At 44.1% G+C, this 22847-nt stretch overlaps 1 protein-coding gene across 8 annotated transcripts in view, besides 4 other annotated features; it reads right to left on the bottom strand.

Moving 5' to 3' along the window:
• Positions 1 to 19423, bottom strand: part of UBE2K (ubiquitin conjugating enzyme E2 K) — an 84657-nt gene extending 65234 nt beyond the window's left edge. For 6 of the 8 annotated variants that reach the window (NM_005339.5, NM_001111112.2, NM_001312646.2 and 3 more), the window contains exon 1: positions 19169 to 19423. In NM_005339.5, the coding sequence (NP_005330.1) occupies positions 19169 to 19231 (63 nt within the window). In that variant the 5' untranslated portion in view covers positions 19232 to 19423. The remainder of the gene's footprint in view (positions 1 to 19168) is intronic. The other 2 variants (NM_001312647.2, XM_047450158.1) reach the window with 2 other exon arrangements.
• Positions 1626 to 1685: an enhancer, noted in NCBI's record as "active region_21467". NCBI's record gives its function as "activates an Ori minimal core promoter by ATAC-STARR-seq in GM12878 lymphoblastoid cells {active_cell/tissue: GM12878}" and the evidence as "EXISTENCE:reporter gene assay evidence [ECO:0000049][PMID:35858748]".
• Positions 3653 to 3782: an enhancer, noted in NCBI's record as "active region_21466". NCBI's record gives its function as "activates an Ori minimal core promoter by ATAC-STARR-seq in GM12878 lymphoblastoid cells {active_cell/tissue: GM12878}" and the evidence as "EXISTENCE:reporter gene assay evidence [ECO:0000049][PMID:35858748]".
• Positions 19440 to 19729: a silencer, noted in NCBI's record as "silent region_15371". NCBI's record gives its function as "represses an Ori minimal core promoter by ATAC-STARR-seq in GM12878 lymphoblastoid cells {active_cell/tissue: GM12878}" and the evidence as "EXISTENCE:reporter gene assay evidence [ECO:0000049][PMID:35858748]".
• Positions 19810 to 19869: an enhancer, noted in NCBI's record as "active region_21465". NCBI's record gives its function as "activates an Ori minimal core promoter by ATAC-STARR-seq in GM12878 lymphoblastoid cells {active_cell/tissue: GM12878}" and the evidence as "EXISTENCE:reporter gene assay evidence [ECO:0000049][PMID:35858748]".

Raw genomic sequence — 22847 nt, 5'->3', positions numbered from 1 at the left:
CCATTAGGGTTGACTAGAAAAGCTGGGAGAGGCTGGGCGTGGTGGCTCACGCCTGTAATCCCAGCACTTTGGGAGGCTGAGGTGGGCGGATCACAAGGTCAGGAGTTCAAGACCAGCCTGATCAACGTGGTGAAACCCTGTCTGTACTTAAAACACAAAAATTAGCCGGGTGTGGCAGCATGCATCTGTAATCCCAGCTACTCAGGAGGCTGAGGCAGAATTGCTTGAACACGGGAGATGGAGGTTGCAATGAGCCAAGATTGTGCCACTGCACTCCAGCCTGGGCGATATAGCGAGAGTCCATCTTAAAAAAAAAAAAAGAAAGAAAAGAAAAGCTGGGAGAGACTGAAGGCAGAAAAATAAATGTACATAAGCAAACTTTTATTCTATTTTATTCTTTAAAGACAGGGTCTTGGCTCTGTGAAGTGCAGTGGCAAAGTCAAAGTTCACCGCAGCCTCGATCTCCCAGGCTTAAGGGATCCTCTCGCCTCAGCATCCAGAGTAGTTTAGGACTACTGATGCGCACCACCCACCCCAGGCTTTTTTTTTTTTTTTTTTTTTGAGATGGAGTCTCACCCTGCCACCCAGGCTGGAGTGCAGTGGCACGATCTTGGCTCACAGCAACCTCCGCCTCCCGGGTTCAAGTGATTCTCCTGTCTCGGCTTCCCAAGCAGCTGGGATTACAGGTGCACACCGCTGTGCCCTACTAATTTTTTGTATTTTAGTAGAGACAGGGTTTCACCGTGTTGCCCAGGCTGATCTTGAATTCCTGAGCTCAGGCAATCCACCCGCCTTGGCCTCCTAAAGTGCTAGGATTACAGGCGTGAGCCACCGTGTCTGGCCTCATTTTTTAAATATTCTGTAGAAACAGGGTCTCACTATGTTGCCCAGATCGGTCTCAAACTCCTGGGCTCAAGCAATCCTCCTGCTTCAGCCGTCCAAAACGCTGGGATTACCGGCTTAAGCTATTGCAAGTTGCCAGGAAACGTTTAATACAAATAGTCCATCTGGGCTGGGCGCAGCGGCTCATGCCTGTAATCCCAGCACTCTGGGCGGCTAAGGCGCATGGATCACTTGAGCCTAGGAGTTTGAGACCAGCCTGGGCAACATGGCAAAACCCTGTCTCCACAAAAAGTAAAAAAAATCAGCCAGGCATGGTGGCAAATGCCTGTAATGCCAGCTACTTGGGAGGCTGTGGTGGGAGGATCACTTAAGCCCAACAGGTTAAGACTGCGGCGTGAGCTGTGATCACAACACGGCACCCCAGCCTGGATGATAGATAGACAGACAGACACCATGTTTCAAATAAATAAATAGTCCATCCTGAGATATAAAAACCTGACCTATGGTATTAACAAAAGGAATAAAAAAGAGAAAACAAACATTCCAGAGACAAGTGGAGGATGAAAGGTAAATCAGTGACAATATTTTATAAAGGATAGTAACAGAGGTTAGAGGAAAATCAGAAAAGAGCAGTATCAGAGCAACCAAAGGAGGAGAGTTCTAAGATGGAAATGGAAATGCTGAAGGAACATGTACAAAATGGATGATCACGAGAACTCACTCTGTGTTCTGTAATTGGGAAGGTACTGCCTGAAGGAGCAGTTTCAGTATGACATGGTAGAGAGAGAAACCTGAGTACAGAAGTTAAGAAAATGAATTAACTTTTAAAAACCAAATACAGAAGAATGTCTTTAAAAAAATAAATAAAAAAAAACGGGTCCTCCGGCACAGTGCCTCCAGAGCAGGAGGTCAGGCCAACCAGTGACCTGGGTCCGAGAATGCCTTTATTAATATCAAAGTAGGAGAAGACTTCTTAAAATGCAAAAAACACACCATGTAGGAAAAGATAAAATCTGAATACCTTAAAATTAAACTTCTGTAAGACAAAAAGGAGGACAATAAGTAAAATACACCAGAAAAAAATTGACTACTTTAAAATTAAACAGGGCCAGGCACGGTGGGTGACACCTGTAATCCCAGCACTTTGGAAGGCTGAGGCGGGTGGATCACTTGAGATCAGGAGTTGGAGACCAGCCTGGCCAACATCGTGAAAAACCCTATCTCTACTAAAAATACAAAAAAGCAGACGGGCATGGTGGCCCACACCTATAATCTCAGCACTTTGGGAGGCTGAGTTGGGAGGATCCCTTGAACCCACGAGTTCAAGATCAGCCTGGGTAACATAGGGAGATTCCCATCTCTACAAAAATTTTTTTTAAAAATTAGCTGGCCGGGCGCGGTGGCTCACGTCTGTAATCCCAGCACTTTGGGAGGCCGAGGCAGGTGGATCACGAGGTCAGGAGATTGAGACCATCTGGCTAACATGGTGAAACCCCATCTCTACTAAAAAATACAAAAAAAAATTATCCGGGCGTGGTGGCGGGCGCCTGTAGTCCCAGCTACTCGGGAGGCTGAGGCAGAAGAATGGCGTGAACCCAGGAGGCAGAGCTTGCAGTGAGCCGAGATCGCGCCACTGCACTCCAGCCTGGGTGACAGAGTGAGACTCCGTCTCAAAAAAAAAAAAAAAAAATTAGCCAAGAGTGGTGGCTTGTACCTGTAGTCCCAGCTACTCAGGAGGCTGGGCTGAGGCATGGGAAAATCACTTAAGCCCAGGAGTTCCGGGCTGCAGAGAGTCATCATTGCACCATTGCACTCTATCCTGGGTAAGCGTGTGAGTGAGACCTGTCTCTTAAAAATAGAACTTCTGGGCCAAGCACGGTGGCTTACGCCTGTAATCCCAGCACTTAGGGAGGCCAAGGTGGGCACATCACGAGGTCAGGAGATCGAGACCATCCTGGCCAACATGGTAAAACCCGTCTCTACTAAAAATATAAAAAAAAATTTAACTGGGGGTAGTGGCACATGCCTGTAATCCCAGCTACTCGGGAGGCTGAGGCAGGAGAATCACTTGAACCAGGGAGTCGGAGGCTGCAGTGGGCTGAGATCACGCCACTGCATTCCAGCCTGGCAACAGAGAGAGACTCAGTCTTAAAAAAAAAAAAAAATATATATATATATATATATATATATATATATATGAAACTTCTAAAAGACAAGGAGGACAGTTAAGTGAAATAAACCAGTCACAAAAGGACAAATAATGTGCTCAGAGGATAATTCTGCATAAGCCAACTCGAAAAGCTGTACAAAAAATAAGCAGAAGTGTCCCAGGAGCCCTATTCTGACAGGCGTGCATGACATAATCCTTGAGGGCTTGGTCTTCCCAAGTGAAATTGTGGGCAAGAGAAACTGGATGGCAGGCAGCTCATAAAGGTTCATTTGGACAAAGCACAGCAGAACAATGTTGAAAACAAGGCTGAAACTTTTTCTGGTGTCTGTAAGAAGCACAGGGATTTGATGGCTCCGGTGGCTCATGCCTATAACCCCAAAACTTTGGGAAGCAGAGGCGGGAGGATCACTTGAGTTTGACATCAGCCTAGGCTGAGACCTCATCTCTACAAAAAGTAGTGTGAGACCTCATCTCTACAAAAAATACAAAAATTAGTCAGGCATGGTGGTGTACCTGTAGTCCCAGCTACTTGGAAGGATGAGGTGGGAAGATCACTTGAGCCCAGGAGGTTGAGGTTGCAGCAGTGAGCCATGATTGCACCATTGCACTCTAGTCTGAGCAATAATAGAGCAAGACTCTGTCTTAAAAAAAAAAGCTGCTCATGGGCAAGGATGTTATTTTTAACTTCCAGAGTTTCGGTTTTAAACAAAAATGAAGAAAGTATACTCAGAGTTTTTTTTTTTAAAGGGACAAATAATGAATGATAGAGCAGTCACACAGATTGAGATACAAAGTAGAAATGTGACTGCCAGAAGCTGGGTGGTAGGGGGATAGGGAGTTAGTAATATTGGGTACAGAGTTTCAATTTTGCAAGATGAAAAGTTCTGGAGATGGATGGTGGTGATAGCTACACAATGTCCTTAATGCCACTGAACATTTAAAATGGTTAGAATGATAAATTTTATGTTATGTGTATTTTACTACAACTTAAAAAAAAGCATAAAAAGATAAGCCAAAATTAAAAATCAAGCCACATAATGTAAGATAGACAATATCATATAAATAACATAAAGAATTCCTACAAATCTGGCTGGGCACAGTGGCTCACGCTTGTAATCCCAGCACTTTGGGATGCCGAGATGGGCAGATTGCCTGAGGTCAGGAAGAGACCAGCCTGGCTAACAAAGCGAAACCCTGACTCCAGAACAAGACTCCAGCCTTACTCCAGAGCAAGAACTGTCTCAAAAAAAAAAAAAAAATTTCCTACAGAAGAAGGAGAAAACTACAAACCACCTAATTTTCTTTTTTGAGATGAAATTTCACTCTTGTTGCCCAGGCCAAACCATCCAATTTTTAAAAAAGCAGTTAAAGAATGTAAACATGGCCGGGCATGGTGGCTCACGCCTGTAATCCCAGCACTTTGGGAAGCTGAGGCAGGCGGATCACCTGAGGTCAGGAGTTAGAGACCAGTGTGACCAGTATGGCAAAACCCGTCTCTACTAAAAATACGAAATTAGCCAGGCTTAGCGGGGCATGCCTGTAATCCCAACTACTTGGCAGGCTGAGGCAGGACAATCGCTTGAACCCAGGAGGCAGAGGTTGCAGCGAGCCAAGATCGCGCCACGGCACTCCAGTCTGGGCGACAAAGCGAGACTCCGTCTCATTTAAAAAAAAAAAAAAAAAAGTAAACACTAAATTTACAAAAGCCTAATGGCCAATAAACACAAAACATGCTTAATATCTCTACTGACTAGGGAAGTAAAAATTAGAATAAACCACCATTTCACATCCATCATAGTGACAAAAACATAAGTCTTAAAAATGTAGGCCGAGTGCGGTGGCTCACGCCTGTAATCCCAGCACTTTGGGAGGCCGAGGTGGGCGAATCACAAGGTCAAGAGTTCAAGACCAGCCTGACCAACATGGTGAAACTCTGTCTGTACTAAAAATACAAAACTTAGCCAGGCGTGGTGGCATGCGTCTATAATCTCAGGAGGCTGAGGCAGGAGAATTGCTTGAACACAGGAGATGGAGGTTGCAATGAGCCAAGATTGTGCTACTGTACTCCAGCCTGGGCGATAAAGCGAGAGTCCATCTTAAAACAAAACAAAATAAAACAAAAAAAACACGGAGAAACCCTGTCTCTACTGAAAAAAAAAAAAAAAAAAAAAAAAAAATTGGCCGGGCGCAGTGGCGGGTGCCTGTGGTCCCAGCTACTTGGGAGGCTGAGGCAGGAGAATGGCATGAACCCAGGAGGCGGAGCTTGCAGTGAGCTGAGATCTTGCCACTGCACTCCAGCCTGGGTGACAGAGCGAGACTCGGTCTCAAAAAAAAAAAAAAAAAAAAAAAAGGTTGTCGGTGCTATTGCACTCCAGCCTGGGCAACAGAGTGAGACTCCATCTCCAAAAAAAAAAGGGGGGGCGGTTTCAAGTAACTACGTTTTTTTTTTCCCTTCCTCTTTTTTTCCTGAGATAGTCTTACAAAAAATAGTGACTATTTTTTTTTGAGACAGAGTCTCCCTCTCTTGCCCAGGATGGAATGCAATGGCGCAATCTCGGCTTAATGCAACCTCTGCCTCCCCAGTTCAAGCAATTCTCCCACCTCAGCCTCCCAAGTAGCTGGGATTACAGGCATGCACCACCATGCCTGGCTAATTTTTTGTATTTTTAGTAGAGAGACGAGGTTTCTCCATGGTGTTCAGGCTGGTCTGGAACTCCTGACCTCAGGTGATCCGCCCGCCTTTGCCTCCTAAAGTGCTGGGATTACAGGAGTAAGCCACCTCTCCCGGGCAGAACTCTTTTAGTGGGAATGTAAATTGATTCAATCATCTGGAGAACAGTGAAGCAATGTCCAGTCAGGCAGAAGCTGAAAATACGCTCAGGTCTTACAAATCTACTTCCTAGAAAAACTCTTACATGTTCCCCAAAAAATTATAAAAATGTCCAGTACATCCTTTTATCTAAAAGTTGGAATTAAATGCCATCAATAGGGAAATAAACTTTAAAAACTGACATGGAATACAATATAGTCTGTATTAAAGAACTAGCACAACATGCACTATCACAGATCTTTAAAAAATAATGCTGCCGGGCGCGGTGGCTCACACCTGTAATCTCAGCACTTTGGGAGGCCGAGGCGGGCGGATCATGAAGTCAGGAGATCGAGACCATCCAGGCTAACACGGTGAAACCCTGTCTCTACCAAAAATACAAAAAATTAGCTGGGCTTGGTGGCGGGCGCCTGTAGTCCCAGATACTCGGGAGGCTGAGGCAGGAGAATGGCATGACCCCGGGAGGCAGAGCTTGCAGTGAGCCGAGATCACACCACTGCACTCCAGCCTGGGCGACAAAGTGAGACTCCGTCTCAAAAAAAAAAAAAAAAAGAGAAAAAGTTTCCAAGAGACATACATTACAATCATTCATAAAAACTGTTTTTAAAAAAAACTTTAAAAAAAAAAGCAAAAAAGTATTTTATTTTTAAATTCAGGAGATATTAACAGTAAAAACAAAAATATGAAGGGGAAGGATATACACTAACTTCACATAGCAGATACTCCTAGAAAGAAAGAAAAAATGGAATAAGAAAAAAGTTATCCAGTGAGCTTTACCTCTATGTTTTACAGTATTTGGGTAGAGGCAGTTTAGCCCACAGTATGAGAAGATTACTATCTGTTAAATATGGACCACAGATATAAAGATGTTCACGTATTACTTTTAAAACTTCTAAGTATAAAGTATTTCTTAGTTTTAAAAAAATCTTCAAAAATGTAGGGAGCAAGCAGCAGATATGAGTATAACTCTTTCTACCATAACCACCAATATTTTGGACGCACAGACCTGGTTTCAAACCTCTGTTCCACCACCAAGTTACTGATACTGAGAAAGTTACTTAATTTCTTCACAGCTGCAACTGTTGGATCTGTGAAACAAGAATACTATCAATCCCATAAAGCTGCCATATATAAAAAATGTCAGATAGGCAGGGTGCAGTAGCTCATGCCTGTAATCCCAGGACTTTGGGAGGCTGAGGCAGGAGGACTGCTTGAGCCCAGGAGTCTGACACCAGCTTGGGCAATATAGTGAGAACCTCAACTCCACAAAAAATTTTAAAAAAGATAATTTAGCCAGGTGTGGTAGCTACTAGGAAGGCTGAGGCAGGAGGATCACTTGAGCCCAGGAGTTCAAGGTTACAGTGAGCTATAAGGTCTTGCTCTGCTGCCACTGCACTCCAGCCTGGGCAACAGAGCAAGACCTTGTGTCTTAAAATCAATCAATCAATCAATCAATCAGACAGTAGGCATTCAACTGTAGGCAGTTATTCTAAATTTGGAGTAAAAGCAAAGAACTAAAGGGAAGAGAAAGAAAAAAAGGGTTTTGCAGTGGTGTTTACAATTAATTGATCATAACCAGTTACAGACTTTTTTCCTTTTCCATTTCCACTGCTTCGTTTGACTAGCCTTAAAAAAATAAAAAAATTTTAAAAAAGCATGTTCAATGAAATAAAGTTCTCCCACCTTTTCAGATTTATGTAAGAGAATAAAATGGATGTCAGATGAATGAGACTGCCTATTTTCTGGCTCCCAAAGCCCACTGAAAAAGGGATTTGCAAAGGGATCCAAGATTATACACCACAGGATTAGAATCTAGATTCTTTGGTCTAGTTTCAGGAAACCCAGAGCCATGTCAAGAAATTCAAAATAATCCCATTATCTCTATATCATTTGAGAGTTTCCCAAATGAACTTTTTCATTCAGGAAGGCAACATTTTAACACAAACTTTGAACGATTTATAACTGTCTCCTAAAGAAAGATTAAATAAATCACATCTGGAGAACAGAGCCCACATATATTCCTTTGTATTAATATATCCCCTCTTATCCACAGGGGACACGTTCCAAGATCCCTAGTGGATGCTTGAAACCACAGATAGTACCGACCCTATACGTACATACATATCATAAAGTTTAATCTATAAATTAAACACAAGAGATTAACAATGGAGTAATTATAACAATATATTGTAATGAAAGTTACGTGAATGTGCTCTCTCAAAATACCTTATTGTACTATACTCACTTATTTTTGGACGATGGTTGACAATGGGTAACTGAAACTGCAGAAAATCAAACTGCAGATAAGGGTGGACTACTTGGCCACTAGCCCCATGGATTATTGGCACACAGGTGACAAAGAAACACTATTAGAAGTACCTTAACCCTCATCTTGAGCTTTTCTTGAGGCATATTTACATCCAATAATCACTAAACCATTGAACAATACCTTTATAATCCAAGAATAATAAGCACGACAGAATATGAAAACATAGCTAATTCTGACATCTAACAGCTATCCGTTTACTGAATGTTTAATTATGTCCCAAGGTTGTTCTAAGCACCGCAAGGACTCTCCTAATCTTCCCACATTTTTACAGATTAAAAAAATCGAGATACAGAGCCAGTACTTCAGGTTTTAAGAAGAAAAGCCAGGACTCAAAGCAAATCTAATTCTAAAGCCCACGCCCTTAATTACTAAGCTAACTTAACTAAATTATGCTTCAGGAGTTAAAAAATCTCTACCTCCTTGGCAAGTTCAAGTTCTCATACTAAGAGGAAAAAAAAAAAAAAAGACACAAATAATACTGCATTGTTATCCCCTTCTGTAAAGTTGTATTAGCAGTCAGCTTTTATACTATCATTTATGAAAAGGATATTCCCAAAAACCAACTACTTATTATGACTAAACTGGTATGCAAAAAGCCTGGGTTCACCATTAACCAGCTCTGTTTCTCTGAGAAACAATCAACCTCCTTGGGCCTCAATTTCCTGATTTTATAGATGAGAAGTTTGGCCTAGATCTGTTTCAGCTCTGAAATTCAATACATTTTGGCACATTTTCTAAGACACTATATTTTTCTTAAGAAAGATTTTGAAAAGCATCTTTTGAAAACTTTCAAACTTAAAATACATAATATATACTCACATCTATTCTTTTACTCAAACATACTCAAAACTAATCGGTTATTAGAAGTCAGGAAAGTAACTAGAAAGGCAGGCAGATTCCCATGGTACTGGGAAGGGTCTGTTTCTTGATTTGGATGCCAGTCACACTTTATTACGTACACATTTTACTTTAATATGAAAAAGGGTGGTTTTCCTCCCCAAAAGGTAACCATGAAGAAAGTTAAGATCATGATCTAACTCTAAAACTATGTTTGAGTATGTAAGAGCTGTGCAACCTTTCTGTTCTAAATATGCAAATGTGCTTCTTGAATAATTGTATCAATAATCTCTTTGTTCCATAGTTCCAATTCATGTGCCTAAAGAAAAGTTCATTTACTTAAGAATCTCGGCCAGGCGCGGTGGCTCACGCCTGCAATCCCAGCACTTCGGGAGGCCAAGGCTGGCAGATCACCTGAGTCCCGGAGTTCGAGACCAGCCTGACTGACCACCATGGAGAAACCCGGTCTCTACTAAAAATACAAAATTAGCTGAGCGTGGTGGTGCATGCCTGTAATCCCAGCTTCTCGGGAGACTGAGGCAGGAGAATCGCTTGAACCCGGGAGGCAGAGGTTGCAATGAGCTGAGATTGTGCCACTGCACTCCAGCCTGGGCAACAAGAGCAAAACTGTCTCAGAAAAAAAAAATTGCAATATTACCAGAATTCCTTTGGGACTGTCTCCTGAAATTTGAGGTCAGTCTTAACTTTCCTCTAGAACTCAGCTCAAGAAGGCTGGGTGAGGTGGCTCATGCCTATAATCCCAGCACTTTGGGAGGCTGAGGCAGGAGGACTGCTTGAAGCCAGGAGTTCAAGACCAACCTGGGCAACACAATGAGACCCCATCTCTACAAAAAATAAAAATTAGCCAGGTGTGGTGGCACACACCTGTAGTCCCAGCTACTCGGGAGGCTGAGGTGGAAGGCCTGCTAGAACCCAGGAGGTCAAGGCTGCAATGAGCTATGATTGTGCCCCTGGGCGACAGAGTGAGACCCCATCTCAAAAAAAAAAAAAAGGCACCTAGCTCAAGAACCTCCCTCATACAGTCATACAGGCCAGGCACGACGGCTCATGCCTGTAATCCCAGCACTTTGAGAAGCCAAGGCAGGCGGATCACCTGAGGTCTGAAGTTCGAGACCAGCCTGGCTAGAAACCCCATCTCTACTAAAAATAGGAAAATTAGCTGGGTATGGTGGCATGCGCCTGTAATCCCAGCTACTGGGTCAAGCAGGAGAACTGCCTGACCTGGGAAGCAGAAGCTGCAGTGAGCCAAGATCATGTCACCGCACTCCAGCCTGGGTGAGAGAGTGAGATTCCATCTCAAACAAAACAAAACAAAAAAACTCCAGGTGGGGTGGCTCACACATGTAAGCCCAGCACTTTGGGAGGCCAAGACAGCCAGATCACCTGAGGTCAGGAGTGTGAGACCAGCCTGGTCAACATGGTGAAATCCAGTCTCTACTAAAAATACAAAAAAAATTAGCCGGGTGTGGTGGCGCATGCCTGTAATTCCAGCCATTCTGGAGGCTGAGGCCTGAGAATCACTTGAAGCCAGGAGGCGGAGGCTGCAGTGAGCCGAGATAAAGCCACTGCACTCCAGGCTGGGTGACAGAGACTCTGACTCAAAACAAAACAAAAACAAAAAAGAACCTCCCTCATTCAAATACCCTCAGAATCCCATAGCATTTACACTTTGCCCCTCCCATTTTTATCTATCCTTTGTCCTGTATCTCCAACCAATTAAGCCTTTTGGGGCTGTGGTCAACATGTTCGGTAACTGTTAATAATGTATTCACTGGGAAATAAGAGTATATAGTCTTGGCTGGGCATTGTGGCTCACACTTGTAATCTTATCACTTTGGGAGACCAGCCTGGCCAACATCATAAAACCCTGTCTCTACTAACAATATAAAAAATTGGCTGGGCGGTGGGGCGCGCCTGTAATCCCAGCTACTTGGTAGGCTGAGGCAGGAGAACCGCTTGACCTGGGAGGTGGTGGCTGCAGTGAGCTTGGATCATGCTACTGGACTCCAGCCAGGGTGACACAGTGAGATTCCATCTGGGAAAAAAAAAAAAAAAAAGTCCAGGCATGCCAGGCATGGTGGCTCACCATTTAAGCCAAGCACTTTGGGAGGCCCAGGCAGGCAGATCATCTGAGGCCGCGAGTTTAAGACCAGCCTGGCCAATACAATGAAACCCTGTCTCTACTAAAACTACAAAAATTAGCTGGGTATTGTGGCCGGACAGGGTGGTTCACACCTGTAATCCCAGCACTTTGGGAGGCCAAGGCAGGCAGATCACGAGGTCAGGAGATCGAGACCATCCTGACTAACACGGTGAAACCCCGTCTCTACTAAAAAAAAAATACAAAAAATTAGCTGGGAGTGGTCGTGGACGCCTGTAGTCCCAGCTACTCAGGAGGCTGAGGCAGGAGAATGGCATGAACCTGAGAGGCGGAGCTTGCAGTGAGCTGAGATAGCGCCACTGCACTCCAGCCTAGGTGACAGAGCGAGACTCCGTCTCAAAAAAGAAAATTAGCTGGGCATGGTGGCGCATGCCTGTAATCCCGGGATCCCAGCCATTCCAGAGGCTGAGGTATTGGTTGAACCTGGGAGGCGGAGGTTGCAGTGAGCTGAGATCGCGCCACTGCACTCCAGCCTGGGTGACAAAGCGAGACTCCGTCTCAAAAAAAAAAATTAGCTGGGCGTGGTGGCGCATGCCTGTAATCCCGGGATCCCAGCCATTCCAGAGGCTGAGGTATTGGTTGAACCTGGGAGGCGGAGGTTGCAGTGAGCTGAGATGGAGCCACTGCACTCCAGGCTGGGTGATAGAGCCGAGACTCTGTCACAAAAACAAAACAAAACAACAACAAAAAGGAATCTCTCTCATGCAGATACCCTTTAGAATCCCATAGCATTTACTCTTTGCCCCCACCATTTTTATCTATCCTTTGTCTGCCCTGTATCTCTAACCAGTTAAGCCTTTTGGGGCTATAGTCAATATTTTCAATAACTGTCAATAATGTATTCACGGGAAATAAGAGTATATAGTCTTGGCTGGGCACGGTGGCTCACGCCTGTAATCCCAGCACTTTGGGAGGCCAAGGCAGTTGGATCACTTGAGGTCAGGGGTTCGAGACCAGCCTGGCCAACATGGTAAAACCCTGTCTCTACTAACAATACAAAATATTAGCTGGGCGTGGTGGGGTGCGCCTGTAATACCAGCTACTCAGGAGGCTGAGGCACGAGAGTCGCTTGAACCCGGGAGGCAGAGGCTGTGGTGAGTTGAGATCGTGCCACCATACTCCAGCCTGGACAACAGAGCAAGACTCTGTCTCCCAAAAAAAAAAAAAAAAAAACCCAGGTGCAGTGGCTCATGCCTGCAATCCCAGCACTTTGGGAGGCCGAGGCGGCAGATCACAAGGTCAGGAGCTCGAGACCAGCCTGGCCAATACGGTAAAAACCCGTCTCTACTAAAAATACAAAAACAAAAACAAAAAAAAACAAAAAAAAACATTAGCCATGCATGCTGGCACATGCCTGTAATCCCAGCTACTCAGGAGGCTGAGACAGGAGAATTGCTTGAACCCGGGAGGCGGAGGTTGCGGTGAGCCGAGATGGCGCATTGCACTCCAGCCTGGGCGACAGAGGGAGACTCCGTCTAAAAAAAAAAAAAAAAAAAAAGGTGTATAGTCTTTAAGAAGGGGTGACAGGCCAAGCATGGTGGCTCACGTCTGTAATCCCAGCACTTCAGGTGGCCAAGGCCGGAGGATCACTTCAGTCCAGGAGTTCGAGACCAGCCTGGGCAACATGGTGAAACCCCGTCTCTACAAAAAATTACATAAATTAGCTGGGCATGGTGGCAGACGCCTTTAGTCCCTGCTACTTGGAAGGCTGAGGTAGGAGGATCATCTAAGCCTGGGGAGTTCAAGGCTGCAGTGAACTGTGATCACGCCACTGCATTCTAGCTTTGGTGACAGTGAGACTCTGTTTCAAAAATAAATAAATAAAAAGGGAAGAAGCTAGGGAGCCCAGATGTGTCTAAACCTACGCCCAATGGACAGAGCTCAAAGTCTTTGTAACACTGTATACAAGGAATTCACCCCAAACATATTACCTGCACAGACTTTGATTTTTTTTAACCCAATCTATAGGCTTTCCTTGCTCAACCCATTCCAGAAACCATAAGAAATACTATTTAAATATTACATAAAACTGTAACTTACATAACTTTCAAACACACTTTTGAAAAAATAAAATAAAAATAAAAACTTTAAAAACCACTTTTTTACTATTTGGAGACAGTGTGTTGCTCTGTCACCCAGGCTGGAGTGCAGTGGCACAATCACCGCTCACTGCAGCCTCGACCTCCCAGACTCAAACGATTCTCCTGCCTCAGCCTCCCCAAGTGCTGCAATTACCGATGTGAGCCACCACGCCTGCCTCTAGTCTTAGAAACAACTGTTCAAATTCTCGTTACATTCATTTTTGGTAGAAAATTTTACCTTTTTATTAAAATCAAAAGCGAGAAATTTTAAAAGAAAAACACTAAAAACGGGAAACAAACTTAAAAGTTTTAAAAATAAAACATTCAAAGCCAGTATATATTTTTTGTCTTTACTGTCTGTGTCCATTTATTCTTTAGATAAATTATCTTACACATCTGATACAGTTAAGTCTCAAAGTATTCTTTTTTTTTTTTTTTTTTTGAGATGGAGTCTCGCTCTGTCGCCAGGCTGCAGTGCAGTGGTGCCATCTCGCTCACTGCAACCTCCACCTCCCCGGTTCAAGCAATTCTCCTGCCTCAGCCTCCCAAGTAGCTGGGACTACAGGCACTCACCACCATGCCCGGCTAATTTTTGTATTTTTAGTAGAGACGGGGTTTCATCATGTTGGCCAGGATGGTCTCGATCTCCTGACCTCGTGATCCACCTGCCTAGGCCTCCCAAAGTGCTGGGATTACAGGCGTGAGCCACCACGCCTGGCTGTGTTCTTCTTATATAGTTAATAAATAGCCAGGAATCATTTTCTTTTTTCATTTATGAGACAGGGTCTCGCTGATGCCCAGGCTAAAGTGCGGTCACATGATCACAATTCACTGCAGCCTTGACCTCATGGGCTCAAGCATCCTCCAGCCTCGGCCTCCCGAGTAGCTGCCACTATAGGCACATACCACCAGGCCTGGCTGATTTTTTTTAAATGTTAGTAGTAACAAACTCTCACTATGTTGCCCAGGCTGGTCTTGAACTCCTGGCCTCAATCGAGTCTCAGCCTCCTAAAATGCTAGATTACAGGCATAAGCCACCCCACCTGGCCATAAACACTCTTTTAAAGAGTTTTGTCAGGCCAGCCTGGCCAACATGGTGAAACCCCCGTCTCTACTAAAAATAAAAACATTAACCGGGCATGGTAGTAGGCGCCTGTAATCCAAGCTACTCGGGAGGCTGAGGCAGAATGGCTTGCAACCAGGAGGTGGAGGTTGCAGTGAGCTGAGATCGTGCCACTGCACTCCAGCCTGGGTGACTGAGCAAGACTCTGTATCAAAAAAAAAAGTTTTGTCTACATAGTTCTCAACATATGGCAGTCTGGGGACATTTTTAGTTGATGCATCCAGCAAGAAGAGATAGTGGGGACATGCGCTGGGGCTCTGCAGTGCTACCTGCATATACTGGTAGAGGTCAGGGATGTTGCTAAACATCCCACAATGCACAGGAGAGCCACTCAACAAAGAACTATCTGCCCAAAATGTCAGTAGTGCCAAGGTTAAAAAATCCATGGTCTACAGAAATCAAAAGACTTACTTTTAGAGATTTACAACTACTTCTATTACAGAATAATCTAGATCAAGCTAGATCAAGTACATTAAAATTTTAAAGGAAAATAGACACAAAAATCTATTTAAATGATGAGGGAAAACTTAATGTACTATATAGTAATTTTCACGAAACCAATTTGTTTATGCCATAGATTTAAACACGCCCTATGAGACTAGAAAATGTTGGCCAGGTGCAGTAGCTCACTCCTGTAATCCCAGCAATTTGGGAAGTCGAGGCGGGTGGATCACCTGAGGTCGGGAGTTCAAGACCAGCCTGACCAACATGGAGAAACCTCGCCTCTACTTAAAATACAAAATTAGCCAGCCATGGTGGTGCATGCCTATAATCCCAGCTACTCAGGAGGCCGAGGCAGGAGAATTGCTTGAATCCAGGAGGCGGAGGTTGGGGTGAGCCAAGATCGCGCCATTGCACTCCAGCCTGGGCAACAAAAGCAAAACTCCGTCTCAAAAAAAAAAAAAAAAAAAAAAAAAAAAAAAAAAAAAAAAGAAAAGAAAAGAAAAGAAAAGAAAATGTTACCAAAGTGCAATTACAACATGAAAAACCAACAGGTGCCATATAGCATAAGACCAACAAGAGAGTGCACTGATTTAAGGGTGTTTTATTTCATTAAGTTTCAAATTTTAAAATATTTGGTATATTGAAATTCAAGTAAATCTGGCTGGGTGTGGTGGCTCATGCCTGTAACCCCAGCACTTTGGGAGGTTGAGGCAGGCGGATCACTTGAAGTTAGGAGTTCAAGACCAGCCTGGCCAACATGGTGAAACGTCGTCTCTACTAAAAATACAAAAATTAGCTGGGCGTGGTGGCGGGCACCTGTAATCCCAGCTACTCAGGAGGCTAAGGCGGCAGAATCTCTAGAACCTGGGAGGCAGAGGTTGTGGTGAGCTGAGATCGCACCACTGCACTCCAGTCTGGGCGAGACAGCGAGATTCCTTCTTAAAAGAAAAAAAAAAAAACATGAAAGAAAGAAATTCAAGTACATCTTAAAGTTAATTATAGGTAACACTTATTTCAATGAGTTTAAACTAGCAAATTAAACTGTGTTTAAATCCTTTAACCAGTAATACAAACCAGGCTCGATTTTTTAAATTAATTAAAAGCATGCCTATCCTTAGCAAGTCATGACAGCGTGGGACAATATGAACACAAGCAGACCTAGATCCAAATCCCAGGCTCTGTGATTGCAGACAAATAATTTAACTTCTCTAAATCTCTATTTTCTCATCTAGGAAATAGGACATCTAAAGAACTGTGCTTAAGAATTAGCAATAACGTAAAAACAAATGATACTAAGAACAACTAGCCATTCTACAAATGGCAGCTAGTTATTAACAGCAGCAATAACTAATAGTAAATAATAAAACTTATGAATAAAACATTGATTATGGGTTTATATCCTCACAATTAATAATTTACTTATGTAATCCTACTCATAAAATAACTAATTATAAAATGTACTTTACATCAATATTCCATGCCTAACAACTTTGGAATATTATTTAAAACTACTTAAAATTCACACTCATATTTAAAAACAAACATCTAAAACAAAGAAAATAAATATTAATTAATAAAAAGAAACATCTGACAAATTTCCAAACACTGTCTTAAGGGAAAGAGGCCAAATGATGCCTTTAAGTAAATCACATTTGTATGACACAAAATTCAAAAAATATCTATACCCCAGACACCCAACTCTCTACACAGAAAGCAATCAATTTTACCAATTTCTCATGAAACCTTTTACCCATACAGGCAAATACACACATGCCCTTCTTTTTGACACAAATGGCCTCTTCCACACTATTCTGCACCTTGCTTTTTCACATTTATCTTGTTGGCTGTATTTTAACACACTCTAAGAACGGCCACTTATAATCTCTCATAACCAGAATCCAGTAAGCGTCAGCTATCTTTACAAAGGCTCTTATAAGGCCACCCCAAAAAGTCCTTAAATCAACCAGTGTTCTTAGTAAACACAAGCATACAAACACATGAAATAAACTTCGGTAAAGTGCTGATTTACCAAAAAAGTGACATGATGAAACATTTATTTGATCAGCCATTCAAAAGACTGTATTTACACCCTTAAAAAGGAAACACATGGACTATACTACAAGTCTTCAATGAGTTGAAAATAACAATACACTTATAGAACTGGGGCTACTAAAATATCAAAAAATACTGGTGAAAATAAGCTATTTATTGGTTATATTTATTCCAAGATTAAATGATGTGACCCTTTCCTAAATGTTCTTTCCAACTTATTTTCCCAGAAGTTTCCTTCCATATTTATACAGGTACTGTTCTAAACAAAACAAAACAAAACAAACAAACAACAAAAACAACAAAAAACCTGTCTGTTTGCATTTCCTGTTTTCTTCTTCTGAAACACTTTTGATGCTTATCTGAAGTAAGGCTTCAACATCCCTTACGTATAAAGAGCAGTGTTTTTTTAATATGCATTACTAGAGAGCAATACAAGTATTTCTGGTAATCTTCAACTTAGTACTAAGAATACCACGGTGAAAAGTCAGCTCATAAAAAGCAAAGAGACCACATTAATTACCAGAGCAGTAACTTACTGTTTCTGTTACCGTAAGTAACAGAAAATAAAGCATTAAAAGTCTATTAAGTTTCAGGCTTGTACAACCTTATTAAACAAGAAATGTTTTCAGTTGTTGGCAACAACAACTGCTTTCATTAGGAGTATATATGTCAACTAACCTGGAATACATTTTCATATTAAATAAGTTAAAATTGCTGTTTCATTGTATCAGTACAGACACTTATGACTCTATTTCTGCATTGTACCACAAAATACAAAGTCATCCTTCCATTCAGAGTTTTGGCATATGAACAAACATAGAGGTCAGAGTTCATACACATGCTCTGTAAAACCGACCATGACTTATATACTACTTTCAATAAGTCTGTTGTCATTTTTGAATTTTAAATAATTTTTTCTCCATGTATACTCATCACATACTTAGAATGCTGAATTTCACAAATTATTATTGACACTATTAAAGTACTAACTGTAAAAGAAAAACACAAATAGCAATGATATATTCAATAATGGTATGTGAATCTTGAAAATAATCATTTTCTGTATTACTTTTTGTTTAATTCATGTGGGGAAGACAATCTGGCATTCTTGTTGATCTTGGTATGAGAAACTGTACTAATACTTGCATAATTTTGAGTCAAATTACTAGAGCACTGTGAATATCTTACATAAATAAACGTAGTACAAATGTATCTAAATTCTGCAGGACTTAAGAGCAACGGGAGGCAACTTTTTTGAAAATCTGTTAAGTCGTGATAAATCTCAATAAGGAGATGAAACAATGTATTAATCTGGTGAAATTTCACATTTTTAATAGGTCTGCTTTTCAAAAGTAAGAATCAAGTTAACTATGAGGGACATCATAATGAAGTTTCGTGGCACAACACGAGTCACAGAGGCACTGTCTTAAGACAGTCTCTCTGATCTGTAACTTGTAAACAATATTTTGAAATAAGCTACTCATACATTCCATTATTTGTTTCCTAACTAAAAATATTTACATGTCTTTAATACACCAAACACCTTGCCTTTGCCCACTCAAAAGATTGAGATGTCAATAAAGATGAGGCCTAGGAATTTGGGGGTTAAGTGGAAAAGAGATAATTATCTTATTTGGAATTAACTTGCTAACTCAGGTGAAAATTCCCTTACCCCTGCCACCAAATAAGACAGTATTCTATTATGTCTCCCTTTGACTCCTAACACCCAACTAAGAAGGACTAACTCTGAATGTCCTTCCTTTTTAATCAATACCTAAGGACTCACTGCTCCTTCCCCAAGAAAAGAACAGTGAAGGCCTGACAGGCAATAACCCCGAATACCCTCAAAAGTGTGGGCCTTCGAGCAGCACTGCTCTTGGGATCCAGTTACCACCTTTCCCCTTCCCCCAACCCACTTCCCGGGTTTTCTCAGGCTCGGCCTGCTCCCTCCCCACCCCACAGCCACATTTCCAGCTGCGGCCACCGCCTCGGGTTCTCTTGTGAGCTTCCATCCCTCCGAGGAGTTGCCCCCTGTCCATCACCTCCCCAAACCATGTTCCACCCCAGACCACCCGCCCGCGAGACCGTCCATCCTAGCGCTCTGGGAGGGGAGGGGAAGGCGGCGGAAGGAGGAGGGGAACACTGCTGCTTCCTCACAGGCAGAAGGGCGGCCGCAAGGAGGACCACCCAGGGACTACCGGGGATATCGGGGTCGCAGCTGGGAGGACCCTCCCGCCCCAGGCAGAGGTGGGGGATATCCGGGAGTTCATTTCTGACCTCCTCGCTCTTCAGCACCTCCTTGAACTCCCGCTTGATTCGCTGCACCGCGATGTTGGCCATGTCTCCGCCCGCAGCTGATTCGTACCCGCCTCCTCCGCCACCGCTACGACCACCGCCACCGCCGCCACCTCTTCCTCCACCGCCTCCTCCCTCGGCGATTCAGACCTGAGCACACGAACACTGCCACTACCACCCCGGCCGCCGCGCTCGCCTCAGTGTGGAATCACCTCCGCGCCCGGCCACCAAAATGGCGCCGGGTCGGCGCATGCGCACGACGTTGACCCGGCCGGGCGGCGCAGCCGCTCCCGTTGGAGCCCCCATACGCCCGAGCCACGAGCTCGCGTCTCGGCTGGGGCTGCGGCCGCGTGGCTCCGCCCTGCCGGCGTCTGGGGCCGCGAGGGTGCGGCTTCCAAGCTGGCCGGCCCTAGCCGGCCCCCCCGGCCCTTCCCGGCGCCTCCGCTCCTGTTTAAACCCGGGTGCTGTGGTCTGGGCTTCCAGCGCTGGCCTCTGACCGAAGGTTCGGGCGCAACCGAACGGGTTTCCGACGCCGCACTCGGCTGGAACGCCGCCCTGACTCAGCTAGACCCGGAACCCGGAGGCTGAACGCCGTGTCTAGCGCAGGAAAACGCTCTCCCGGATCTCGGTCCGGCCCATTTTCAGTTGGTGTAGCCCCAGAAAATCTACTGCAGTCGTTTTTGTTCTGCAACATTTATAGTACCACGATTATTCCCATCATCTCAGGTAGCACAGATTATTGAATTAAGGCTGGTTATTGTTGGATCAGATTGGGTTTGAGACAGGTACTCGGTGGAGAGGCCTGAGGGTGGGTTTAGAAGCCAGATGTTGCTCTTTGACCTATTTAATACCGAGCTTGACACACACACACAATCTCTCTCTCTCTCTCTCTCTCTCTCTCACACACACACACACACACACACACACACACTCCTATGCCCATCCCTAGAGTGTAGGGTGGGCCTAAGACTGCGCTTCTAACAAGTCTCCCAGTTGCTGCTGCTGTTGGTGCTGGTTCCGGGACCACATTATGAGAACCACTGAACTGAATGAAGCATGTGAAAATTCACATATATTAAAGTGAAAATTGGAGAAATGGAAACAATTACAGTACCCTTCAGGGGACTCGGGGTGGGGGAGGGGGAGCCTTATTTCTGTAAACCTAGGCCTCAAAGGTGCCTGGTGATAGTAGGCACTCAATAAATATTGAATGAGTAAATGAGTACAGATAAGACTAAAACGTTTTTGCTGGCGCGGCGGATCGCTTGAGGTCAGGAGTCCGAGACCAGTCTGGCCAACATGGTGAAACCCCATCTCTACTAAAAATACAAAAATCAGCCAGGTGTGGTGGCAGGCACCTGTAATCCCAGCTATTCTGGAGGCTGAGGCAGGAACATCGCTTGAACCTGGGGGTCGGAGGTTGCAGTGAGCGAGATCGCGCCACTGCACTCCAGCCTGGGCCACAGTGCAAGATTCTGTCTCAAACAAAACAAAACAAAACAAAAAGTATAAAATATTTTAAGTGGAAAGTAAGTTTGAAAGTGGTTTCTGGGCCAGGTGCGGTGGCTCACGCCTGTAATCCCAGCACTTTGGGAGGCGGAGGCGGGCGGATCACGAGGTCAGGAGATCAAGACCATCCTGGCTAACACGGTGAAACCCCGTCTCTACTAAAAAAATATAAAAAAAATAGCTGGGCGTGGTGGCGGGCGCCTGTAGTCCCAGCTACTCGGGAGGCTGAGGCAGGAGAATGGCGTGAACCCGGGAGGCGGAGCTTGCAGCGAGCGAGATTGCGCCACTGCACTCCAGTCTGGGCAACGGAGCGAGACTCCGTCTCAAAAAAAAACAAAAAACAAACAAACAAAAGAAAGTGGTTTCTGGTCGGGCGCGGTGGCTCACGCCTGTAATCCCAGCACTTTGGAAGGCCGAGGGGGAGCAGATCACTTGAGCCCAGGAGTTTGAGACCAACCTGGGCCCTATGGTGAAATCCTGTCTCTAAAGATAATAATTTTTAAAAAAGAAAGTGGTTTCTAAGGTGCATAGTAATAATGGTTTGGTACTGAGAAGCATTTTGAATAGAACATTTTGGAATAAGTAATAAGGGTGTCATTTCAGAAGTTTATACTTCATGCACTTTCTTCACCTAGCCAATCAGTAAAATATCTATTATAAAAATATCACAAATACATGGTTTTACCAAAAGTAATTAAAATTGTGGTGGCAAACATGGAAATAGCCAATGGAGGCGAATCAGTGGGGGCACAAGGCAAAAGAGAATTTCTTAAACTCCCGCCCCAGGAACCAAGAGGAGATTTTAAAATTCCAGTTCTCTCCCATGGCAGTTCTCTTGCCAGCTTTTATTTCCTCATCTACGAAACGAGAAAACTGGATTAGATTATCTCTCTCAAGTTTTAAGAGTTCAGAATTCGAAAATATCATCTCAAAACATTTCCCCTAAGTGGGCTGACATAAATTATATAAACCCTTCTAGCAGAGCCCCCTAGTGGTCCTAAGAGGACTCAACCATATACGTAGGTCATGGTACAAGGAATTATTGGTGTAATGTAAATCACGCAATGCTATATGTATTTGTGCCAGTAGACTTAAAAAAATTATTTTGAAGAGTGCAAAAACTTTTTGAGCACTTTACATTATCACTGTCCAATCCTAATCTTGGAATGTGAAGAAACTTGGAATACTCAAAGGGGGACCAGTTAGAAGGGTCCAGGCCGGGCGCCCTGATTTATGTCTGTAATCCCAGCACTTTGGGAGGCCGAGGCGGGCGGATCGCTTGAGCTCAGGAATTCGAGACCAGCCTGGGCAACATGGTGAGACCCCCGACTCTACTAAAATACAAAAACTTAGCTGGGTGTGGTGGCGTGCGCTGTAGTCCCAACTACTTGGGAGGTTGAGGCAGGAGAATCGCTTGAACCCAGGAGGCGGAGGTTGCAGTGAGCGGAGATCACACCACTGCACTCCAGCCTGGGTGACAGAGGGTGACTCTGTCTCAAGAGAAAAACCACAAAAAGACAATTCCCCCTCTCCAAAAAAAGGTCTGGTAATTTCTTTCTTTTTTTTTTTTTTTTTTTTTTTTGTCTTTTTTCCCCCCTTTCTGTGGAGAACGGGGTCTCGCTATACTGCCCAGGCAGGTCTCAAACTCCTGGGCTCAAGGTATCCTCGCGCCTCTGCCTCCCTGAGAGCTGGGATTAAAGGTGTGAGCCACTGCACCGGACAAGGGTCTGGTAATTTCTTCAAGGGAGAGGGTTTGGTAATCTTTAAATGCACATAATCACTGCTCCTGCAATTTCACTTCTAGGAATTCATTCTGTAGTCCTTCTAATGAGACAACTGCATATTAACTGATATGAAACAATCTCCAGGATATATTTTAAGTGAATAAGAAGCGCCATGCGAGGCCAGTCACGGTGGCTCACACCTGTAATCCCAGCACTTTGGGAAGCTGAGGTGGGCCGATCACTTGAGGTCAGGAGTTGGAGACCAGCCTGGCCAACATGGTGAAACCCTGTCTCTATTAAAAATACAAAACATTAACTGGGCATAGTGGCGGGCACCTGTAATCTCAGCTACTCGGGAGACTGAGGCAGGAGAATTGCTCAAACCCAGGAGGCGAAGTTTGCAGTGACCCAAGATTGCACCACTGCAC

Source organism: Homo sapiens, chromosome 4 (assembly GCF_000001405.40).
Source record: "Homo sapiens chromosome 4, GRCh38.p14 Primary Assembly".
NCBI classification, from domain to species: domain Eukaryota; kingdom Metazoa; phylum Chordata; class Mammalia; order Primates; family Hominidae; genus Homo; species Homo sapiens.
This window is presented reverse-complemented; position numbering and strand designations above follow the sequence as displayed.